Source organism: Homo sapiens, chromosome 11 (genome assembly GCF_000001405.40).
Source record: "Homo sapiens chromosome 11, GRCh38.p14 Primary Assembly".
Lineage (NCBI taxonomy): Eukaryota > Metazoa > Chordata > Mammalia > Primates > Hominidae > Homo > Homo sapiens.
The window spans coordinates 77,555,080-77,577,132 of NC_000011.10; the positions used below are offsets into that span (position 1 = coordinate 77,555,080).

The following is a 22,053-nucleotide window of genomic DNA, read 5'->3' on the forward strand; positions in this document are numbered from 1 at the left end:
CCCCTTACCCCAAAATCTTTCTTCAGTTTAATCTTTCCCACTCTAGGTTCCCACACTGCCCCAATCTCACTCAAAGCAACCCTGAGAAACATTGCCATTATCTCTCCATATCACCCCCCAAAATTTTCGCCGCCCCAACACTTCACCACCATTTTGTTTTGTTTTTCTTATTAATATAAGAAGACAGGAATGTCAGGCCTCTGAACCCAAGCTAAGCCATCATATCTCCTGTGACCTGCACGTATACATCCAGATGGCCTGAAGCAACTGAAGAACCACAAAAGAAGTGAAAATAGCCAGTTCCTGCCTTAACTGATGACACTTCACCACTGTGATTTATTCCTGCCCCATCCTAACTGATCTTGTGACATTCCTTCTCCTGGGCAATGAATCTCAGGAACTCCCCACCAAGCACCTTGTGACCCCTGCCCCTGCCCACAAGAGAACAACCCCCTTTAACTGTAATTTTCCACTACCTACCTAAATCCTATGAAACTGCCCCACCCCTATCTCTCCCCTTTTGCTGACTCCTTTTTCGTATTCAGCTCACTTGCACTCAGGTGATTAAAAAGCTTTATTGCTCACACAAAGCCTGTTTGGTGGTCTCTTCACACAGATGCGGGTAACACCAATAGGCAGTAGGTAGACATGAGCACGGGGGAATTAAAGGGTCAAAGATTTGACCAAAATATTGGTTGGGGGAAAATGAGGAGAGTGAAAATCACCTGGTGACCACTGAACAGGTCCCAGAGACTAAAACTCCTAATCTGAGGAATTTAGAAGGGAAGAAAGACCACCTGGTGACCATCAAAGAGGCCATACAGAGGCAAAACTCCTTATCTGGGAGAAAATTAGAAGTAATTAGACTTCCCTGCGGGGCATGGTGGCTCACACTTGTAATCCCAGCACTGTGGGAGGCTGAGGCAGGCAGATCACCTGAGGTCAGAGTTTGAGACCAGCCTGGCCAACATGGTGAAACCCCGTCTCTACTAAAAAAAATACAAAAAAAAAAAAAAATTAGCCAGGCTTGGTGGCAGGTGCCTGCAGACCCAGCTACTCGGGAGGCTGAGGCACAAGAATTGCTTGAACCCAAGAGGCAGAGGTTGCAGTGAGCCAAGATAGCACCAAAAGGACTTTCCTATTATCTAAAGCAGGGTTCTGGTTTCAGATTTCCTTCCCCCCAAAAAACTTATAAGTAAAATTTCTATACATCTCTGGAATGCCAAAACTCATTTGACAACCATAAATACCCCAAAGGAAAAACCCATGGAGGGCAGCGCTCTCAGTCCTCTCACTGACGCACCCTGCTGCACCCTTTTGCAACATTCTTCCTTTCTAATAAACTTTCCTTTTTTCAAACCTATACTGTTGTCGGTAAATTCTCTTACCAAACCACAAGTCGACCACTGCCCGGTGTCGGGGCTCTGAAACCTTGCCTGGCAGTAGAATCATCCAGAGAGCTTTAAGAAATCCAAATGGGCCGGGCATGGTGGCTCACGCCTGTAATCCCAGCACTCTGGGAAGCCAAGGCATGTGGATTGCTTGAGCTCAGTTCACAGCCTGGGCAACATGGCAAAACCCCATTTCTACAAAAAATACAAAACTCAACTGGGTATGGTGGTGCATAGCTGTAGTCCCAGCTATTGGGGAGGCTGAGGTGGGAGGATGGCTTGAGCCCAGGAAGTCGAGGCTGCAATGAGCCATGATCTTGCTACTGCACTCCAGCCTGGGGTGACAGAGGAGACTGTCTTCTAATGCCTGTGCTGTACCCCAGACCAGAGCCTCGGGCTGGGACCCTGGGCAGCAGACTTTTTCAGCTCCCCAAGTGATTCCAAAGTGCATCCAAGATGGAGAGGCATTGGACTAGATAATCTCTAAGGTTTCCTACCATTCTGGCATTAGGAAGCTAGAGAAAAACAACAATAAATAATTATTATATAATGGCTACTACACATTGAGTGGTGTCAAGCACTTCACCTAGAGCTCTATGTGTGCTATTTAATATTCACAGTTAACTTAAGGGGTAGGAATTATACAAATGAAGAAATAAGTTTGAAATGATTTTCATTTGCCCAACATCATGTAGCTAAATGTCAGAGCTAGAATTTTTACACAGGTCTGTCTGCTGCCCCAAATGGAAACTTGAAATTATTGCATTCTACTATTTTGCATAACTCTCACATGGCATTGAAAATGATTTTTTTAAATCTTCCTTACTTGGATGGAGGCAAATGCCTAACGCTTGTGAATGGGTAAAATATTTCCGTGAACTTAGGGGCTTTCACTCTATTTCCAGATACATATTTCTTGTTATAATGGCTCCACTTCTAAATACGGGCTGTAACCATCTTTTTTTTAGACAGAGTCTAGCTCTGTCACCCAGGCTAGAGTGCAATGGCATGAGCTCAGCTCACTACAACCACAGCCTCCAAAGTAGCTGGGACTACAGGCACGCACCACCACACCTGGCCAGTTTTTATATTTTTTGTAGAGATGGGGTTTTGTCATGTTGCCCAGGCTAGTCTTGAACTCCTGAGCTAAAGCAATCCTCCTGCCTTGGCCTCCCAAAGCGCTATTTTTTATTCAGTATCTTCATACTGAAAAAGTCGACTGTGGAGCATGAATGACCACCAAACAAATGAGGTTAAGATGCTGCCATCTTGTGGCATTTTGGGCCAGGCCAAGTGTGTAAGTAACCAACAGCGAGGACAGCCCCGCACATGAAACTCTACCCACACCTGCTGTTTTGCCATCTTTCCAGTGCCTTCCTACCGGTAACATCATTTTCTTTCTTCAAATTTAACACTAAGAAGGAATCAATGACAGCAACACAAGAAAATAAATAAGAACTGAGGATCAAATAATAAAGTCCTCTAAGGATCAAATAATAAGGCCCTCTCCTTTTTTTTTTGACACGGAGTCTTGCTCTGTCACCCAGGCTGGAGTGCAGTGGCGCGATCTCAGCTCACTGCAACCTACACCTCCCAGGTTCAAGCGATTCTCCTGCCTCAGCCTCCCGAGTAGCTGGGATTACAAGCATATGTCACCATGTCCAGCTAATTTTTGTATTTTTAGTAGAGACGGGGTTTCACTATGTTGGTCAGGCTGGTCTCGAACTCCTGACCTTGTGATCCACCCACCTCGGCCTCCCAAAGTACTGGGATTACAGGCATGAGCCACCACACCCGGCCCTCCTTCTAATAACTTGTCGTGTATAATCTTTGTCAGGTTAATTTTTCTGGGTCTGAAATTTCCTTCTATAAAATGGGGACAGTAACACTCATCTCATAGTATTGTTGTAAGTTCAAATTAGAACACGTGTGTAAATTCCTGGCAAATTGTAGGCATTTAACAAATGTGGCCAGACGTTCCTCCACTTAAACATTTGTGCTGTTGTGGGTGTTGCAATGCAAAACCCCTATCACTGAGTTCCCCCCACCACCCCCAGCAGTTTCCCCATTACTCACAGCATTCCAAGATCCTATCAGAGTCTGTATCCTCCAATTCTGCTTATCTCTTACCCCTGGACTTTTCACCCGGCCGACCCTGGGTGACCTGATACACAGCTCCCTCTCTGGCCTCAGTTCCCAACACCATGCCTCTCCTTCACCCTGCTCTGCCCACTGGCCTCCTCCCTTTTGCTGTTCCTCTGCCTGAAAGGCTCCCCTAGATACTCTCACAAAGTAGCACAAACACACAAATCCATCCCCAGTCCCTTTCTATCCCCTTTGACCTGTGTAGTTTTAATTTGCAGCACCTCTACCACTCATCTCATATTATATGTTTATTATTTTCTGGCTCCCTGCCCCAACTTAAGCACCTGAAGAGAGAGACTTCATCTGTCCCTAGCGCCTTGCACAGTGCCTGGCACAGACTAGGCACCCAATTCATATTCGTTGAGAGAATGAACAAACACCCGGGTAAAGGAATCTAGATGGGTGGCCAAGGCCATTTCCAGAGCACCAGCTCTCACGGTTTCAAGAATCACTGGAAGCTTATTCCAGGACCCCATCCACAGAGATCTGAGTAAGGATCTGTAAGTAGGCATGTTATTTATTTTATTTTTTAAAATTTTTTTATTTTTTATTTTTTTGAGACAGAGTCTCGCTCTGTCGCCCAGGCTGGAGTGCAGTGGCGCAATCTCGGCTCACCGCAAGCTCCGCCTCCCAGGTTCATGCCATTCTCCTGCCCCAGCCTCCCGAGTAGCTGGGACTACATGTAGGCGCCCACAACCGCGCCTGGCTAATTTTTTTTTTGTATTTTCAGTAGAGATGGGGTTTCACTGTGGTCTCGATCTCCTGACCTCATGATCCGCCCGCCTCGGCCTCCCAAAGTGGATTACAGGTGTGAGCCACTGTGCCCAGCAAGTAGGCATTTTAAATGACATCCATGTGAGTCTGAGGCAGTGGTCTGTGGCTCCTTTTGAAAAACACTGCTGTAGGGGAACAGATAAGCCTAAGAATAAGTTTACTAGAACAGGGATGCCCTAACAGAGTTTCTTAATCTTGGCACTAATAGCATTTGGGACCAAATCAATTCTTTGTCCTGGGTGCTGTCCTGTGCACTGCAGGATGTTTCATAGGATCCCTGGCCTCTGCTTGCTAGATGCCAGTAGCAATGCCCGCTCCCACCTGCTGTGACAATCAAAACTGTCTACAGACAATGCCAAATGCCCCAAGGGGTGGTGGGGTGGAGGGGGGTGCAAACTTGCTGCCACCACCTTCCACAGAAAACTATTTCCCTGGAGTGTGCAAGGCCCTGGGCCAGTGTGTGTGGGTGTGTGTACGGGTGGGGGGAATGTTAATATTAACAATATGTTTTAAAATGTATTGCAAAACTCATGAGCTCATGTGAGCTATGGTGATTTACTGATGAAGATTTAGAATGAGTATAGAAGAGGTATTCAGGTATTTGTTGTCAAGTCAGTGCGCATGAAGATTCTTTGTAGTGTCCAGGTGCCGTGTCTTTCTGTTCTGGTTTGAGAACCACCTTTTTATGTTCTTTATTTTCAAATGCACCATTCCTTGCTGGTTTCATGGCTCCTACTCCTGAAGAAGGTAGCAATGCTGTTATTACTCACAATGCCATGACTGCTTGGAACCTGTTTGTATTGAAGCAATATAGACCTTTTGGCTTCTGCTGATCCTCAAAACCTTTAACTCATGACACTGAATCATCCACCATAAGCACGTGGCTCCAGTGGCTCTGTTATAAAGATTGTTATCATGCTTCATTGATGACTAACACAAATGCACGTCTTATCCAGAGTCTGAATGGAAATGATAACTACTTTTCTGGTAATGTTAAATTATCATTTCAGATTTTTTTTTTTTTTTGAGACAGAGTTTCACTCTTGTTGCCCAGGCTGGAGTGCGATGGTGCGATCTCGGCTCACTGCAACCTCTGCCTCCCAGGTTCAAGCAATTCTCCTGCCTCAACCTCCCGAGTAGCTGGGATTACAGGCATGCACCACCACGCCTGGCTAATTTTGTATTTTTAGTAGAGACAAGGTTTCTCCATGTTGGTCAGGCTTGTCTCGAACTCCTGACCTCAGGTGATCCCCCCGCCTGGGCCTCCCAAAGTTCTGGGATTACAGGCATGAGCCACCATGCCCAGCCTATCATTTCAGATTTTATGGCACAACCACATGACTCACCTTCCAACTATGTCTTCTCTTGAACTCATTAGGGTGTTATCATTGCATTTCCTTGAATGTAATCTTCCTCAGTATCAGTGGAACCCTTCCCTTTCATCAGCAGGCAGAATAGATGAGTGGCCCATCTGCACAAGAGTGCTCTGGATAGGAGGTGTCACAGTGTACACAGGCAAGAGTCAGTGGACAGGCCCACACATGCAGCCCAAGCCAAAAGGTCAGTAGTAGAGAAGGAGCAGAAATTCCAAGATATGTGAGGGGGAAGATCAACAAAGTGCTAAGGTATAGCAGCTCAGTGTCTGCTTGTGACAGTCAACCGAAATCTGCATCGGCACCATCCTAATGGTCCAACTTCACATGAGCCAGTAAAATAATATTGTGCTAGCCAGCAGGAGTGATCTGCCCCACAGGCTGTCCTTTTGGAAATGTGGCCTGGCCACTGGGCTCTGAGACCATTCCATAGGCACACGTTCTACAGCTCCTCAGGACATCTGTTTGACCCCATGCACTAGGAAGAAGGTTAGAGAGCACTTGAAGGGGAGAAACTGAGTTTAGAGCACCCCACCTGGAGAACACTACTAGCCCCAGCCTGTCCCAGTCAAAAGAGAGAAACTTAAAATTTCAAGGTGGGTACTCCACAGCGGGATGGAGGGTGACAGGGCCCTGTCTGCCCAGGGCCAAGGGTGGTAGTACTGCACTAGAGCAATGGTGAGTAAGTCAGTAGCTTCTTAAAGTGTTCTTTCATGGGAGGGCAAGGTTCACTTGGTGGAGCATTGGGACTTCAGTACTGGATTATTCCTGGGATGTTAATTATTAATGTTATATATGTTAGCTGGTGGTAAAACATGTAAGATAAAGCTAGAGAAATTATTTTTTTAATTTTTAATTTTTATGGGTACATAGTAAGTGTATACATTTATGGAGTGTATGGGATATTTTGATACAGGCATACAATGTGTAGTAACCACATCAGGATAAATTGGTATCCATCACCTCAAGCATTCATCCTTTCTTTGTGTTACAAACATTCCAACTGTACTCCCTCAGTTATTCTAAAATATACGACAAATTATTGCTGACTGCAGTCACCCTGTTGTGCTATCAAACACTAGATCTTATTCATTGTATCTAACTATATTTTTATATATGTTACCCATCCCCATTTCTCACCCACTGGCCTTCTCAGTCTCTGGTAACCATCACTCTACACTCTCTGTGAGTTCAATGGTTTTAACTTTTAGCTCCCACAAATGAGTAAGAACATGAGAAGTTTGTCTTTCTGTGCCTGGCTTATTTCACTTAATATAATGTCCTCCAGTTCCATCCATGTTGTTGCAAATGACAGGATCTCATTCTCTTTTATGGGTGAATAGTACTCCATTGTGTATATATACTACATTTTCTTTATCCATTCATCTGTTGATGGACATTGAGGTTGCTTCCAAATCTTGGCTATTGTGAATAGTGCTGCAGTAAACAAGGGAGTGCAGATATGTCTTCAACATACTGATTTCCTTTGAGTATATACCTAGCAATGGGATTCTTGGATCATATGGTAGCTCCATGTTTAGTTTTTTGAGGAAATTCTATACTGTTCTCCATAGGGGTTAAACTAATATGTACTCCCATCAACAGTGTATGAGGGTTCCCCTTTCTCCACATCTGTGCCAGTGTTTGTTATTGACTATCTTTTGGATAAAATCAATTTTAACTAGGGTGAGATGATATCTCATTGTAGTTTTCATTTGCATTTCACCTTTTTAAATACCTGTTTCCCATTTGTATGTTTTCTTTTGAGAAAAGTCTATTCAGATCTTTTATCCATTTTTTAATCAGATTATTATATCTTTCCCTTTGAGTTGTTTGAGCTCCTTATATATTCTGGTTATTCATATCGTGTCAGATGGATAGTTTGCAAATATCTTCTTTCATTCTGTGGGTTTCCTCTTTACTCTGTTGATTGTTTCCTTTGCTGTGTAGAAGCTTTTTAACTTGATGTGATCCCATTTGTCCATTTTTGTTTGGTAGCCTGTGTTTATGAGCTATTACTCAAGAAATCCTTACCCAATAGCTACAAATAAAAGACATATATGACAGACCCACAAAATACCCCTGGAAAGTTTCCCCAATGTTCTATTTTAGTAGTTTCATAGTTTCAGTTCTTAGATTTAAGTCTTTAATCCACTTCAATTTTATTTTTGTATATGGTGAGAGATAGGAGTCCAGTTTCATTCTTTTGCATATGGATATCCAGTTTTCCCACCATCATTAATTGAAGAGACTGTCCTTTCCCCAAGGTATGTTGTTGGCATCTTTGTCAAAAATGTTCACTGTAGTTATATGGATTTGTTTATGAGTTCTCTATTCTGTTTCACTGGTCTATGTGTCTGGTTTTATGCCAGCACCATACTGTTTTGGTTACTATTGCTCTGTAGTATAATTTGAAGTCAGGTAATGTGATGCCTCCAGTTTTGTACTTTTTGCTCAGGATGGATTTAGCTATTCTGGGTCTTTTGCAGTTCCATATATATTTTAGGATTACATTTCTGTGAAGAATGTCACTTATATTTTGATAGGGATTGCACTGAATCTGTAGAGTGCTTAGAGTAATATAGACATTTTAATAATATTGATTCTTCTAATTCATGAACAGGGAATATCTTTTCACTTTTTGGGTGTCCTCTTCAATTCTTGTATCAGTGTTTCATAGTTTTCATTGTAGAGATATTTCACTTATTTGGCTAAGTTTATTCCTTGATATTTTATTTGTAGCTATTATAAATAAGATTACTTTATTTCTTTTTCAGATTGTTCACTGTTGGAATATAGAAATGCTACTGATTTTTGTATGTTGATTTTGTGTTCTGCAACTTTACTGAATTTGTTTGTCAGTTCTAGTAGTTTTATGGTGGAGTCTTTAGGTTTTTCCAAATATAAGCTCTTATCATTTGCAAACAAGGACAATTTGACTTCTTTCTTTTCAATTTGGATGCTTTTTATTTCTTTCTCTAGTCTGATTGCTCAGTACTATGTTGAATAGCAGTGGTGAAAGGGGACTTCCTTGTCTTGTTCCAGAACTTAGAGAAAATGCTTTCAGTTTTTCCCCATTCAGTGTGATACCAGCTGTGGGTCTGTCATATATAGCTTTTATTGTGTTGAGGCATGTTCCTTCTACACCCAGTTTGCTGAGGATTTTTATCATGAAAGGATGTTGAATTTTACCAAATGCTTTTTTGGCAGCAATTGAAATGATCACATGATTTTTGTCCCTCATTCTGTTGATATGATGTATTACATTGATTAAGTTGAACCATCTTTGTATCCCTGGGATGAATTCCACTTGGTCATGATAAATGATCTTATTAATGTGTTGTTAAATTCAGTTTGCCAATATTTTGTTAAGATTTTTGCATCAATGTTCACCAGAGATACTGGCCCTTAGTTTTCTTTTTTTGATGTGTCTTTGTGTGGTTTTGGTATCAGGGTAATACTTGTCTTATAGAATGAGTTTGGAAAAGTATTCCTGCCTCCTCTATTTTTTGGAATAACTTAAGTTGGACTGTTATTAGTTTTTCTTTAAATGTTTGGTAGAATTCAGCAGCGAAGCCATTGGGCTCTGAGCATTACTTTGCTGGGAGACTTTTATTACACCTTTAATCCCATTATTTGTTACTGGTCTAGTCAGGATTTGTATTTCTTCATGGTTCGATCTTGGTAAGTTGTAGGTGTCTAGGAATTTATCCATTTCTTCTAGGTTTTTCCAATTTATTGGCATACAGTTGTTCATAGTAGTCTATAACGAAGTTTGAATTTCTGTGGTATCAGTTGTAATGTCTTCCTTTTCATCTCTGATTTTATTCATTTGGAACTTCTTTTTTTCTTAGTCTGGCTAAAGGTTTGTCACTTTTGTTTATCATTTCAAAAATGCAACTTTTCGGCCAGGCGCAGTGGCTCACGCCTGTAATCCCAGCACTTTGGGAGGCCAAGGTGGGTGGATTATGAGGTCAGGAGTTCAAAACCAGCCTGACCAATATGGTGAAACCCTGTGTCTACTAAAAGTACAAAAAAAAAGAAAAAGAAAAATTAGCCAGGCGTGGTGGCAGGTGCCTGTAATCTTAGCTACTCGGGAGGCTGAGGTAGGAGAATTGCTTGAACCCAAGAGGCAGAGGTTGCAATAAGCCGAGATCGCACCACTACACTCCAGCCTGGGCAACAGTGCAAGACTCAGTCTCAAAAAAAAAAAAAAAGCAGCTTTTCATTTTGTTGATCTTTTGTATTGTTTTCTTCATTTCAAATGCATTTATTTCTGCTCTGATCTTTATTATTTCTTTTCTTCTAATTTTGGGTTTGATTTACTCTTGCTTTTCTAGCTCGCTGTCTCTCTCTCTCTCTCTCTTTCCCTCTCTCTCTCTTTTGTATTTTCTATATAGATGGGGTTTTGACATGTTGCCCAGGCTGGTCTTGAACTCCTGGGCTCAAGCAATCTGCCCACTTCAACCTCCCAAAGTGCGGGCCACAGGTGTGAGCCACCAAGCTGGCCTTCTAGGTCTTTAAGATGCATCATTAGGATGTTTGTTTGATGTTTTTTTTTTAAATGTAGGTGCTTATTGTTATAAACTTTCCTCTTCATACTGCTTTTGTTGTATCCCATAGGTTTTGGCATGTTGTGTTTCCATTTTCATTTGTTGCAAGACATTTTAAAAATTCTTTTTTAATTTCTTCATTGACCCATGATCACTCAGGAGCATATTGTTTAATTTCCATATGTTTGTATAGTTTTCAAAAATCCTTTTATTATTGATTTTTGGCTGTATTCCATTGTAGTAAGAGAAGATACCTGATATAATTTATTTTTTTTCAATTATTTTTCAATTTTTTCTTTTTCTTTTTTTTTTTTTTGAGATGGAGTTTCACTCTTGTTGTCCAGGCTGGAGTGCAATGGTGCGATCTCGGCTCACCACAACCTCCGTCTCCTGGGTTCAAGCGCTTATCCTGACTCAGCCTTCCAAGTAGCTGGGATTACTGGCATGCGCCTACACACCCAGCTCATTTTATTTGTATTTTTAGTAGAGTCAGGGTTTCTCCATGTTGGTCAGGCTGGTCTCGAATTCCCAACTTCAGGTGATCTGCCCGCCTCGGCCTCCCAGAGTGCTGGGAATACAGGCGTGAGCCACCAAGTCTGGCTTTTTTTTTCAATTTTTAAAGTCTTATTTTGTGGTCTAACATATAGTCTATCCTCAAAAGTGATGTAAGTGCTGAGGAGAAGAATGCGTATTCTGTAGCTGTTGGATGAAATGTTCTGTAAATATCTATTAGGTCCATTTGGTCTATAGTGCAAACGAAGTCTGATGTTTCTTTTTTGATTTTCTGTCTGGATGATCTGTCCAATGTTGCAAATGTGGTGTAGAAGGCTCCAGCTATTATTGCATTGGGGTCTCTCTCTCTCTTTAGCTCTAATAATATGTGCTTTATATGTCTGGGTGCTCCTGTGTTGAGTGCATATATTTTTATAACTGTTATTATCTTGCTAAATTGACCCCTTTATCATTTTACAATAATATTCTTTGTCTTTTTAAAATAGGTTTTGTCCTGAAATGTATTTTGTCTTAAAAAAATATAGCTACTCCTGCCCTTTCTTTTTCCATCCATTTATTTTCAGTGTTTATGTGTCTTCATAGGAGAAGTATATTTCTTGCAGGCAGTAGATCATTGGGTCTTGTTTTTTTAATCCATTCAGCCACTCTGTGTCTTTTGATTGAAGTTTAGTCCATTTATATTCAATGTTATTATTGATAAGAACTTATTACTGCCTTTTATTTGTTTTCTGGTTGTTTTGTAGTCTTCACCTCCTTCTTTCCTTTCTTCCTGTCTTCCTTGTAGTGAAGGTGATTTTCTCTGGTGGTATGTTTTAAATTCTTGCTTTTTATTTTTCATGTATCTGTTGTATGTTTTTCAATTTGAGGTTACCATACAGCTTGCAGATAATATCTTACAACCCATATTTTAAGCTGATGACAACTTAACACTGGTTGCATAAACAAATGAACAAACATGCAATAAGAAAACTTATAAAAACTCTACATTTTAACTTCATCTGCTTGCTTTTTACCTTTTTGCTTTTTCTATTTATATCTTATTATATTGTCTGTATCTTGGAAAGTTGTTGTACTTCTTATTTTTGACAGGTTCATTTTTTGCGAGGGAGGCTTCCAGTGAAAACAAGAAAGCCTGCTGGACAAATTCTAAAAAAGCTGTAACACTGACAGGTTCGTCTTTTAGTCTTTCTACTGCAGATACGAGCAGTTTACATACCAAAATTACAGTGTTATAATATTCTGTGCTTTTCTGTGTACTTACTATTACCAGTGAGTTTTATATCTTCAGATGACTTCTTATTGCTCATTAGCATTCTTTTCTTTCAGATTGAAGAACTCTCGTTTGCATTTCTGGTAGGACAGGTCTGGTGTTGATGAACTCCCTCAGCTTTTGTTTGTCTGGGGAATTCGTTGTTTCTCCTTTATGTTTGAAGGATATTTTCACTGGATATACTATTCTAGTATTAAAGTTTTTTTCCTTCAGCACTGTAAATTTGTCCCACCACTCTCTCCTGGCCTTTAAGATTTCCACTGAAAAGTCTGCTCCTGGGCATATTAGAGCTCCATTGTATGTAATTTGTTTCTTTTCCCCTTGCTGCTTTTAGGGTCCTTTCTTTACCCTTGACCTTTGGGAGTTTGGTTATTAAGTGTCTCAAGGTACTTTTATTTGGGCTAAATCTGCTTGGTGTTCTACAACCTTCTTGTACTTAAATATTGATATCCTTTTCTAGGTTTGGAAAACTATCTGTTACCTCTTTATATAAACTTTCTACCCAGATCTATAAGGCCAATAACTCTTAGATTTCCCCCTTTGAGGCTATTTTCTAGATCTTGCAGTCATGCTTCCTTCTTCTTAATTCTTTTTTGTCTCCTCTGGCTGTGTATTTTCAAACAGCCTGTCTTGAAACTCACTAATTCTTTCTTCTGCTTGATCAGTTTTGCTAAGAGACAGCCGGGACTGGTGGCTGGTGCTTTATTTAGATCATTCGGTGAGGTCATGTTTTCCAGGATGGTCTTGATGCTTGTGGATGTTCATCGGTGTCTGGGCATTGAAGAATTAGGTATTTATTATAGTCTTCACAGTCTGGGCTTGTTTGTACCTGTCCTTCTTGGGAAGGATTTCCAGCCATTCGAAGGGACTTGGATGCTGTGATTTAAGTTTTTTATCACTGCAGCCGTATCTGCACTAGGGGAAACCCCAAGTCCAGTAATGTTGTGGCTCTTGCAGACTCAGAAGTAGTGCCTTAGTGGTCTTGGGTAAGATTTAGGAGAATTCCCTGGATTACCAGGTAGAGACTCTTGTTCTCATCCTTTACTTTCCCCCACAAATGAAGTCTCTCTCTCTCTGTACTGAACTTCCTGGAGCTGGGAGAGGGGTGACATAAGTTCCCCTGTGGTCACCACCACTGGGACTGTCCTGGGTCAGACCTGAAACAAACATAGCACTGGGTTTCACCCAAGGTCCACAGTGACCGTTGCTTGACTACCACTTAGGTTCACTCAAGACCCAAGAGATCTACAATCAGCAGGTGGCAAATACAGCAGGCTTGTGTCCTTCCTTTTAGGGTGGTAAGGTCCCCCTGGCCCTGGGTGTGTCCAAAGATGCCACTGGGAGCCAGAGTCTGGAGCCAGGAACCTTAGAAATCTTATCTACTGCTGCTGAGCTGGCATCCAAGCCACAAAACAAAGTCCTTCCCCCTCTTCCCTCCCCTTTCCACAAACAGGAGTCTCTCTTCATGGCTACTGCTGCCCTGAGCCCGTGGCAAGTACTGCCAGGCTACCACCAATGTTCACTCAACGTCCAAGGGCTCTTCAATCAGCTTGCGGTGAATGCTGTGAGGCCCGGGACTCACCCTTCAGGGAAAAGGACTCCCCTCTGGCCCAGGGCAGGTCCAGAAATGCCATCCATGAGCCAAGACCTGGAACTGGGGACACCAAGAGCCTGCTTGGTGCTCTATCCCACTGTGGCTGAGCTGGTACCCAAGCTATAAGACAAAATGCCCTTTACTCCTCCGTCTTCTTTCTTCAAGTAGCCACCACAGCTAGGAATGTGCTGGGTCACATCTAAAGGCAACACAGCTCTGAGTTTTACCCAAGGCCCAGGAGGAATAATGCCTGGTTACCACCGCTGATTATTCCTTCCCTTTAAGGCAGTTGGTTCCCTTCTGGCCCAGGGTGTGTCTTGAAATGTCATGTGATGGCTAGACCCTGGAATGGGGTCCTCAGGACTCTGTCTGGTGCCCTATCCTGCTGTGGCTGAGCAGGTATCCAAGCTGCAAGACAAAGTCCTCTTTACTCTCCCTTCTCTCCTCAGGTAGAGGGAAGGAGTCTCTCCCAGAGCTGTGAACTGCACTGCCTGAGGTTGGGAGAGGGATGATGCAAGCACTGCCTTGGCCTCCCTGGCTCCATGTACATGTTACATGTACCTGAGTACGAGTACCCTGGCTCCAAGCCCAGCACAGCACCAGGACTTGCCCAGCAATTGCAATCCTTAGGGCCTAGACTGCCTTTCAAGTTTACTTAGGACCCCAGAGCCCTTTACCAAATGGTGGTGGCTTGCCAGAGGTCAAGTTCTGACCACTGGGATGGGTAATATGCCTCTGGCTAGGGCTGATGCAAATGCTCCCTCCTTGGCCTCCAGCTGAGTTCTGCCTTGTGTTGTTTTCTGCTGTGACAGGGCAGCACTGAGCTCTAATGCAAAGTCCCATAATCACTGCACTCTCCCTCCCACAAGTGCACAGACTCTCTGTGCTATGCAGCCACAGCTAGGCGATCAGAGAAGGGTGCTGTAGACAATTTGAGACTATTTTTCCTGCCCTCTTCAGTGCCTCTTTCCTTAATGTGATGTTAAAACCAGGTACTATGATTACTCACCTGATTTTTGGTTGTAATGAAGGTGTTTTTTGTGTGAATAGTTGTTCGATTTGGTGTTCCTGCAGGGAGGACAATTTCTGGAGGCCTCTACTTGGCCATATTGCTCCCTAGTCTGTACTCCTTTTGCATTGAGTTTTACAGGATCCACCCATTTCCAAAGTTACTTAGGTCAGCAATTTTCTCCCATTTCCTTCATTGAGTTTTGTTCATAATACAGTTAGATTATTTTGTCACGTTCTTTATTTCATCTTGGGATCATCTATCTGAGCTCCTAAATGATTTTTTTAAATTTGCATACTTTAGGTTCTAAGGGTTCTGACAAATGCAAGGTGTCATGTATCATGTCACTATCATTATGGTATTACACAAAATAATGTCACCATCCTAAAATGTCCTGTGATTTACCTATTCAATCCTCCTTACTGAATTCCTACCAACTTGTTTTTCATCTCTGTAGTTTTACCTTTCATAATGTATATAAGTAGAATCACGGCCAGGCACGGTGGCTCACACCTGCAATACTAGCACTTTCGGAGGCTGAGGCGGGTGGATCACGAGGTCAAGAGATCGAGACAATACTGGCTAACATGGTGAAACGCCGTCTCTGCTAAAAATACAAAAGTTAGCCAGGCATGGTGGCAGGCCCCTGTAGTCCCAGCTACTCGGGAGCCTGAGGCAGGAGAACCGCTCGAACCCAGGAGGTGGAGGTTGCAGTGAGCCGAGATCATGCCACTGCACTCCAGCCTGGCAACAGAGCCAGACTCCGTCTCAAAAAAAAAAAAAAAAAAAGAATTATATAGTAAAAAGCCATCAGACTTGCTTCTTTGACTTACTGATATACATTCAACATTTATCCATGTCTTTGCTTTGCTTGATAGCTCATTTCTTTAAAAAAAAAAAAAAAACTGTGGTAAAATAAACATAACAATTTCCATTTTAACCATTTTCTTTTCTTTTTTTTTTTTTTGAGGCGGAGTCTTCCTCTGTTGCCAGGCTGGAGTGTAGTGGCACAGTCTCGGCTCACTGCAACCTCCACCTCCCAGGTTCAAGCAATTCCCCTGCCTCAGCCCCCCAAGTAGCTGGGACTACAGGAGGGTGCCACCGCGCCTGGCTAACTTATGTATTTTTAGTAGAGACAGAGTTTCACCATGTTGGCCAGGCTGGTCTCAATCTCCTGACTTCGTGATCCACCCACCTTAGCCTCCCAAAGTGCTGAGATTGAGGCAGAAATTTAAAAATAAATATGCATTCATTCACTCCAAGAAAAGTAACAGGCAAGGCAAGGGTTAAAAAGAAAAGAACAAGTTTTCCTCGGCCTAGCAAGCTCACTTCAAGGACAGTTATAAGATAATGCTGTTTGAGAAGCCAAGGCCAAAGGAATGGGCTGCAGACATCCCTCCCCTCCAGAACAAGGTTGAAGGAAAAAAAAAAAGAGAAAGACAAATTCCTTTACTGTTACTTCTTTCCCTGGCTTCTTAAGCATGATTATGTTTTACAAATGTCTGTATTTAGCCAGTTCTTGATTTTCTTTTGACACAGCTCCAAGGCCACCAGCTATGCAAGGCCACAAGTTATGCACTATATGATTAACTGCTTTTGTTTTACTTTTGTAAGTCCACTTATAAAAACCCTGCTCTGTCTTTGTTTAATGCTCAGGTTTTTGGATATAAATCCACTCAGCCAGTGCGTACCTAAAAATAAATATCTTCCTGTACTCTCATATTGGTCTCGCCATTCCTCAGTTTCCTGCAACATTTCTTGGCAAGCCAGCCAGGAGTGGAGATGACAGGCTTACTGTCTCCTTTGCCTATAGGGGGCTGGAGCCCTGGGCCAAGGGAGACCTGTGACCCCAGGTGCCGCCGGGAGAACTTCAGCCCAGAGGGGAAATCAGCTCTCCGTGACCCAGCACCCCTACCCAGCAGCGCAACAGATCCTGAGAGGAGCTACAGGATGATTCTAGAAACAGCGCACTTCAGGAATCATGGTAAGGTTTTGGGGCCCAAGGCAGGACCCATCCTGTAAGGACGGAAAGGGAGCCTGATCACCTCCCGGGGTATGCCTAATAGTCCGACCCAGAGGGACTGGGGGCGATGAGAGCGGCTGTCAATTTGGATGAAACTCTCACCCCAATCAACACAGGAAGCAAGAGTGGCTCACTAAGTTGGTTAGGAAAAGGAAACTGGAGGTGGCGAGAATGGCTTGCCACCCCAACTAAGGAAACTGGAGATGGTGATAGTGGCTCGTCACCCCAATTAGGTACACAGGAACTGGGAGTCGGTCCATCAGAGTTATGACTGAGTGTGGCTCCCGAATGGTTAACTGCTGTCTTAGAGTCAATTTGCTAGCCTCTTGTGTTTAGCAAGGTGGTGGCGGCTAATGCCTTAACACAGGGAGGCCATCCTAGCATCACAGAATCCAATTGTTTGGATCAGTATGTTACTGGGTGATGTTATGACCTTACAACTTGAGTCAGAACTCCTATAGCCATTCCTTTTTGTTCATGAACATATAGAAAGGCTTAGTTATATCTGGTAGTCCTAAGGCTAGGGCCTAAGTTAAAGCTTCCTTGATTTGTTGGAATGCATTTTCTGATTAGTCTCCCAAAGGAGGGTTTTTTTGTCCTCCTTTTGTGGCTTCATATAACGGCACAGCCATCAAGGAAAGATTTGGAATCCAGATGGGGCAAATTCCTGCTGCCCCTAAAAATTCTCTTATTTGGCATCGGGTGGTTGGGATTGGTAGTGCACAAACGTCTTGTTTTCACTCATAGCCAAGCCAGCATTCCCCGTGACTCACTACGAAACCTAGATATTTAACCTCTTTATGGCAAATTTAGGCTTTCTTTTTAGATACTTTGTAACCTGCTTTCCACAGGAGATGAAGGAGGTCCTGAGTTCTCTGATAATAGTCCTCTTGGGTTGGGGCTGCCAAAAGAAGGTCGCCCGTGTACTGTAACAAGCACAGTTATCATTTGGCGGGGTATAGGCCTTGAGGTCTGAAGCCAGTGTTTCCCCAAAGATTGTAGGAGAGTTTTTGAACCCTTGTGGGAGCCTAGTCCACATGAGTTGCATAGCTTCCTTGTCCCATTGAAATGCAAATATGGGCTAACTCGTGCTAAGCGAATATAAAAGAAAGCGTCCTTTAAGTCTAAGACTGTAAACCTAGTGGCACTTGTTGGAATAAGTACCATTAAAGTATATGGATTTGGTGCCACGGGATGGATGGTCACCATGGCCCGGTTTACGGCATGCAAATCTTGCACCGGTATCTACTCATCAGACCTTGGTCCCAGCAGCGGCTTTCATACTGGCAAAAGTGGAGTATTCCGGGGGACTGGCATCGGATTAAGATCCCATATTTATAGAGCCGTTCTAAATGTTTGCAGACACCCTGTACAGCCTTTTGGGGAACTGGGTACTGACGAACCCAGACCGGAGTTGCTCCCGGTTTCAGTTCAGCTACTACTGGTGAAAACTTACTTATAGACTTTACCGAACTGCCCCATGCTGGAGGCTATCAGTACATGCCAGTGTTTGTTTGCACCTTTTCAGGGTGGGTTGAAGCTTTCCCCATCAAAACAGAAAAAGCATGAGAAGTGACTAAAGTACTGTTAAGAGATATTATCCACAGGTTTAGACTGCCTTTAACTTTAGAGTCAGGCAATAAGTTGGCATTTGTAGCTGAAATAATGCAAGATTTAACAAAACTGTTAAAAATAAAATGGAAGTTACATACAGCCTATTGGCCACAAAGTTCAGGAAAAGTAAAATGCATGAACCGCACACTCAAGCAGCTACTGAAGAAATATTGCCAAAAGACTCATCTGAAATGAAATCAGGTTTTGCCTATAGTCCTCTTCCACGTCAGGTGCACCCCCACCAAACAAACTCAGTATTCAACCTATGAGATTTTATTCAGTCAGCCTCCCCCAATCCTAAGTCAAATTAAAGGAAACCTCTGAGAACTAGGGGAATTAACTTTAAGGAAACAAATGTGGCTGGGTGTGGTGGCTCACGCCTGTAATCCCAGCACTTTAGGAGGCCGAGGCAGGTGGATCACGAGGTCAGGAGATCGAGACCATCCTGGCTAACACAGTGAAACCCCATCTCTACTAAAAATACAAAAAATTAGCCGGGCGTGGTGGCAGGCACCTGTAGTCCCAGCTACTCAGGAGGCTGAGGCAGGAGAATGGCATGAACCCGGGAGGCGGAGCCTGCAGTGAGCCAAGATCGCACCACTGCACTCCAGCCTGGGTGACAGAGCGAGACTCTGTCTCAAAAAAAAAAAAAAAAAAAGAAAACAAAACATAACAAATGCAGGCTTTAGGAATAGCCATGCAAGAGATCCATGGCTGGGTACAGAAAAGAATGCCTATAAGTCTAACAGACCCAGAACACCCCTTTAAACCAGGAGATTCTGTTTGGGTTAAAAAGTGGACTCCAACTTCTCTAGGACCCATATGAGATGGGCCCTATACTGAAATCTTACCCACTCCCACTATTGTTAAAGTTGCAGGTGTTGTGCATTGGATCCACCACAGTCGGCTGAAACTGACAACTCAAGACAAGTGGACCAGCCAGCAGGACCCAGATCATCCAACTCGGCTGATCCTGAGACGGGACCAAACTGCTGCCGAAGACGACCGCCCTGTTCTGGTCACTCCGGAGGCTAACCAGCCTACGCATGGCTGAAGTTTGAGGAAACAACAAGCCCTGCTCTAGTCACACACTGAAAGCTGACTAGTCTATGCACGGCCAAAGCTTGAGGACTCATCAAGCAAGTAAATGTAGTTAGAAATCTTAGAACTAGTAGTTTTCCTTGTAATATTAACTGTTTTACTATTGTTCTGTCACTGTGCTCAACCTCCTCTCCCAAATAAGGACCTCTTCTGTCCTTACTAGATATGAATATACTGTACATTGTTTTACTGTTGTTACCCCACTTAACCATGCTAGAAGAAACACCCATAGAAGGGTGTCCCCATCGTACACATACTACATGGTCAGAAAACAGTATAACCAGGACTCTATTATACCATACTTATTATGAGTATACAGGGACTCACCTAGGAACTTGTACTTACAATCAGATCACCTATTCAATTTATGACCCAGGAAATGGCCAGCTACCTAGGTGGAAGATAGGTCATGGAGTTACCGTACTCCTACTTACGTGCTTAAGCGCATCATAAGGTTACAGGCAGGGCTTGAGATCATCACTAATAAACATCAAATGCATTAGATTTACTGACCCAGCAAGCTACAAAAAATGAGGAATGCTATCTATCAGAACAGATTAGCTTTAGACTATCTCCTAGCCCAGGAAGGAGGAGTATGTGGAAAATTCAATCTAACTAATTGTTGCCTGGAAATCAATGACAATGGAAAGACATTTATGGAAATAACTGCAAGAATAAGAAAATTAACCCACGTTCCAGTTCAAACGTAGAAAGGGTGGTCTCCAGATTCTCTCTTTGGAGGCTGTTTTTCATTTTTCGGAGGGTTCAAGACTTTAATAAGATTGATTCTGGCCATACTAGGAAGTTGCCTAATACTACCTTGTCTCTTACCTCTCCTTGTTAGAAACATTCAGTCAACTATAGAGGCAATAGTAGCTAGGCAAACTACCAGTCAGCTAATGGCTCTATGTAAATGTCAACCTTTGTCTAAAGAAGAAAACTTGTCTCTTCATGCAAAATTAAATAATAGTGATGCCTCCTATTAAATTTCTTTTATAAAAGGCATCAAAGGGGGGAAACTGAGGCAGAAATTTAAAAATAAATATGCATTCATTCACTCCAAGAAAAGTTAACAGGCAAGGCAAGGGTTAAAAAGAAAAGAACAAGTTTTCCTCGGCCTAGCAAGCTCACTTCAAGGACAGTTATAAGATAATGTTGTTTGAGAAGCCAAGTCCAAAGGAATGGGTTCCAGACATCCCTCCCCTCTAGAACAAGGTTGAAGGAAAAAAAAAAAAAAAGAAGAAGACAAATTCCTTTACTGTTACTCCTTTCCCTGGCTTCTTAAGCATGATTATGTTTTACAAATGTCTGTATTTAGCCAGTTCTTGATTTTCTTTTGACACAGCTCCAAGGCCACCAGCTATGCAAGGCCACAAGTTATGCACTATATGATTAACTGCTTTTGTTTTACTTTTGTAAGTCCACTTATAAAAACCCTGCTCTGTCTTTGTTTAATGCTCAGCTTTTTGGATTTGAATCCACTCAGCCGGTGCACACCTTAAAATAAACATCCTCCTGTACTCTCATATTGGTCTCTCCATTCCTCAGTTTCCCACAAGATTACAAGCATGAGCCACCGCACCGGGCCCATTTTAACCATTTTCAAATGGAGAATTCAGTGGTATTAGGTACATTTATATTGTTGTGCAACCATCACCACTATCCATCTACAGAACTCTTTTTATCTTGTGAAACTAAAACTCTATACCCATTAAACACTAACTCCTCACTCCTCCCTTCCCTCATCACTTGACAGCCATCCTTCTACTTTATGTCTCTATTCATAGGTATGAGCTCCCCCATGCCTGCCCAAATCACTAATCTAAAAGGAAATGTCAAGCTGAGAACTTCTTAGGGCAAACCTGCCTCCCATTCTATTCAAAGTTACCCCTCTGCTCAGAGATAAATGCATATCTCATTGCCTCCTTTGGAGAAGCTAATCAGAAACTCAAAAGAATGCAACCATTTGTCTCTTTTCTACCTATGACCTGGAAGCCCCCTCCCTGCTTTGAGCTGTCCCGCCTTTCTGGACCAAACCAATGTTCATCTTACATATATTAACTGATGTCTCATTTCTCCCTAAAATGTATAAAACCAAGCTATGGTCTGACTACCCTGGGCACATGACATCAGGACCTCCTGAGACTGCGCCATGGGTGCACATCCTCAACTGTGGCAAAATAAACTTTATTTTTTATTTTTATTTATTTTTTAGAGACAGAGTCTCGCTCTGTAGCCCAGGCTGGAGTACAGTGATGCAGTCTCGACTCACTGCAACCTCCACCTCCCAGGTTCAAACAATTCTCGTGCCTCAGCCTCCTGAGTAGCTGGAATTACAGGCTTGCGCCACCACACCCGGTTAATTAGCAAAATAAATTTTCTAAATTAACTAAGACTTGTCTCAAATTACTGGGGTTAACATTTTGGTAACCACAGAGGGACTCTGCATGGAGGAACACTTGAACTTTGACAAATCTTTTACTGGTGTTTGGTATCAGCATAAGCTAACTTTATGAATAGTTTGCTGAGGCCTGGGAGCACTCCTTCCAGAGAATCCCTGCTCTCCCAAAGTTTGGTTGAGATCTAAAGTTTATTTTGCTGTACAACTCCCTCTTATTTATTTTTTTTTTTTTTGGAGTTTTACTTGCTTCCAACAAGAAAGGCAAGTTTTCCTGCTTCCATGACAATGGAAG

General features: G+C 42.7%; 1 long non-coding RNA gene and 1 pseudogene across 1 annotated transcript, besides 2 other annotated features; one reads left to right on the forward strand and one right to left on the reverse strand.

Annotated features, from left to right (window-relative positions):
* Positions 4,814 to 6,013: an enhancer, noted in NCBI's record as "P300/CBP strongly-dependent group 1 enhancer chr11:77270938-77272137 (GRCh37/hg19 assembly coordinates)". NCBI's record gives its function as "activates an origin of replication core promoter dependent on BRD2, BRD4, P300/CBP, MED14 and CDK7 cofactors, with strong dependence on P300/CBP, by STARR-seq in HCT116 cells {active_cell/tissue: HCT116}" and the evidence as "EXISTENCE:reporter gene assay evidence [ECO:0000049][PMID:35650434]".
* Positions 5,045 to 5,339: an enhancer, noted in NCBI's record as "tiled region #6958; K562 Activating DNase unmatched - State 7:EnhWF". NCBI's record gives its function as "activates a minimal TATA promoter and a strong SV40 promoter by Sharpr-MPRA in K562 cells {active_cell/tissue: K562}" and the evidence as "EXISTENCE:reporter gene assay evidence [ECO:0000049][PMID:27701403]".
* RNU7-59P (RNA, U7 small nuclear 59 pseudogene) lies at positions 11,859 to 11,916 on the reverse strand (annotated as a pseudogene).
* On the forward strand, positions 16,010 to 20,583 carry LINC03030 (long intergenic non-protein coding RNA 3030). Its single transcript, NR_130930.1, has 3 exons — positions 16,010 to 16,231; positions 16,436 to 16,606; positions 19,132 to 20,583. It is a non-coding gene; the product is annotated as a long intergenic non-protein coding RNA 3030 (long non-coding RNA).
* Positions 20,584 to 22,053: the final 1,470 nt, after the last annotated feature.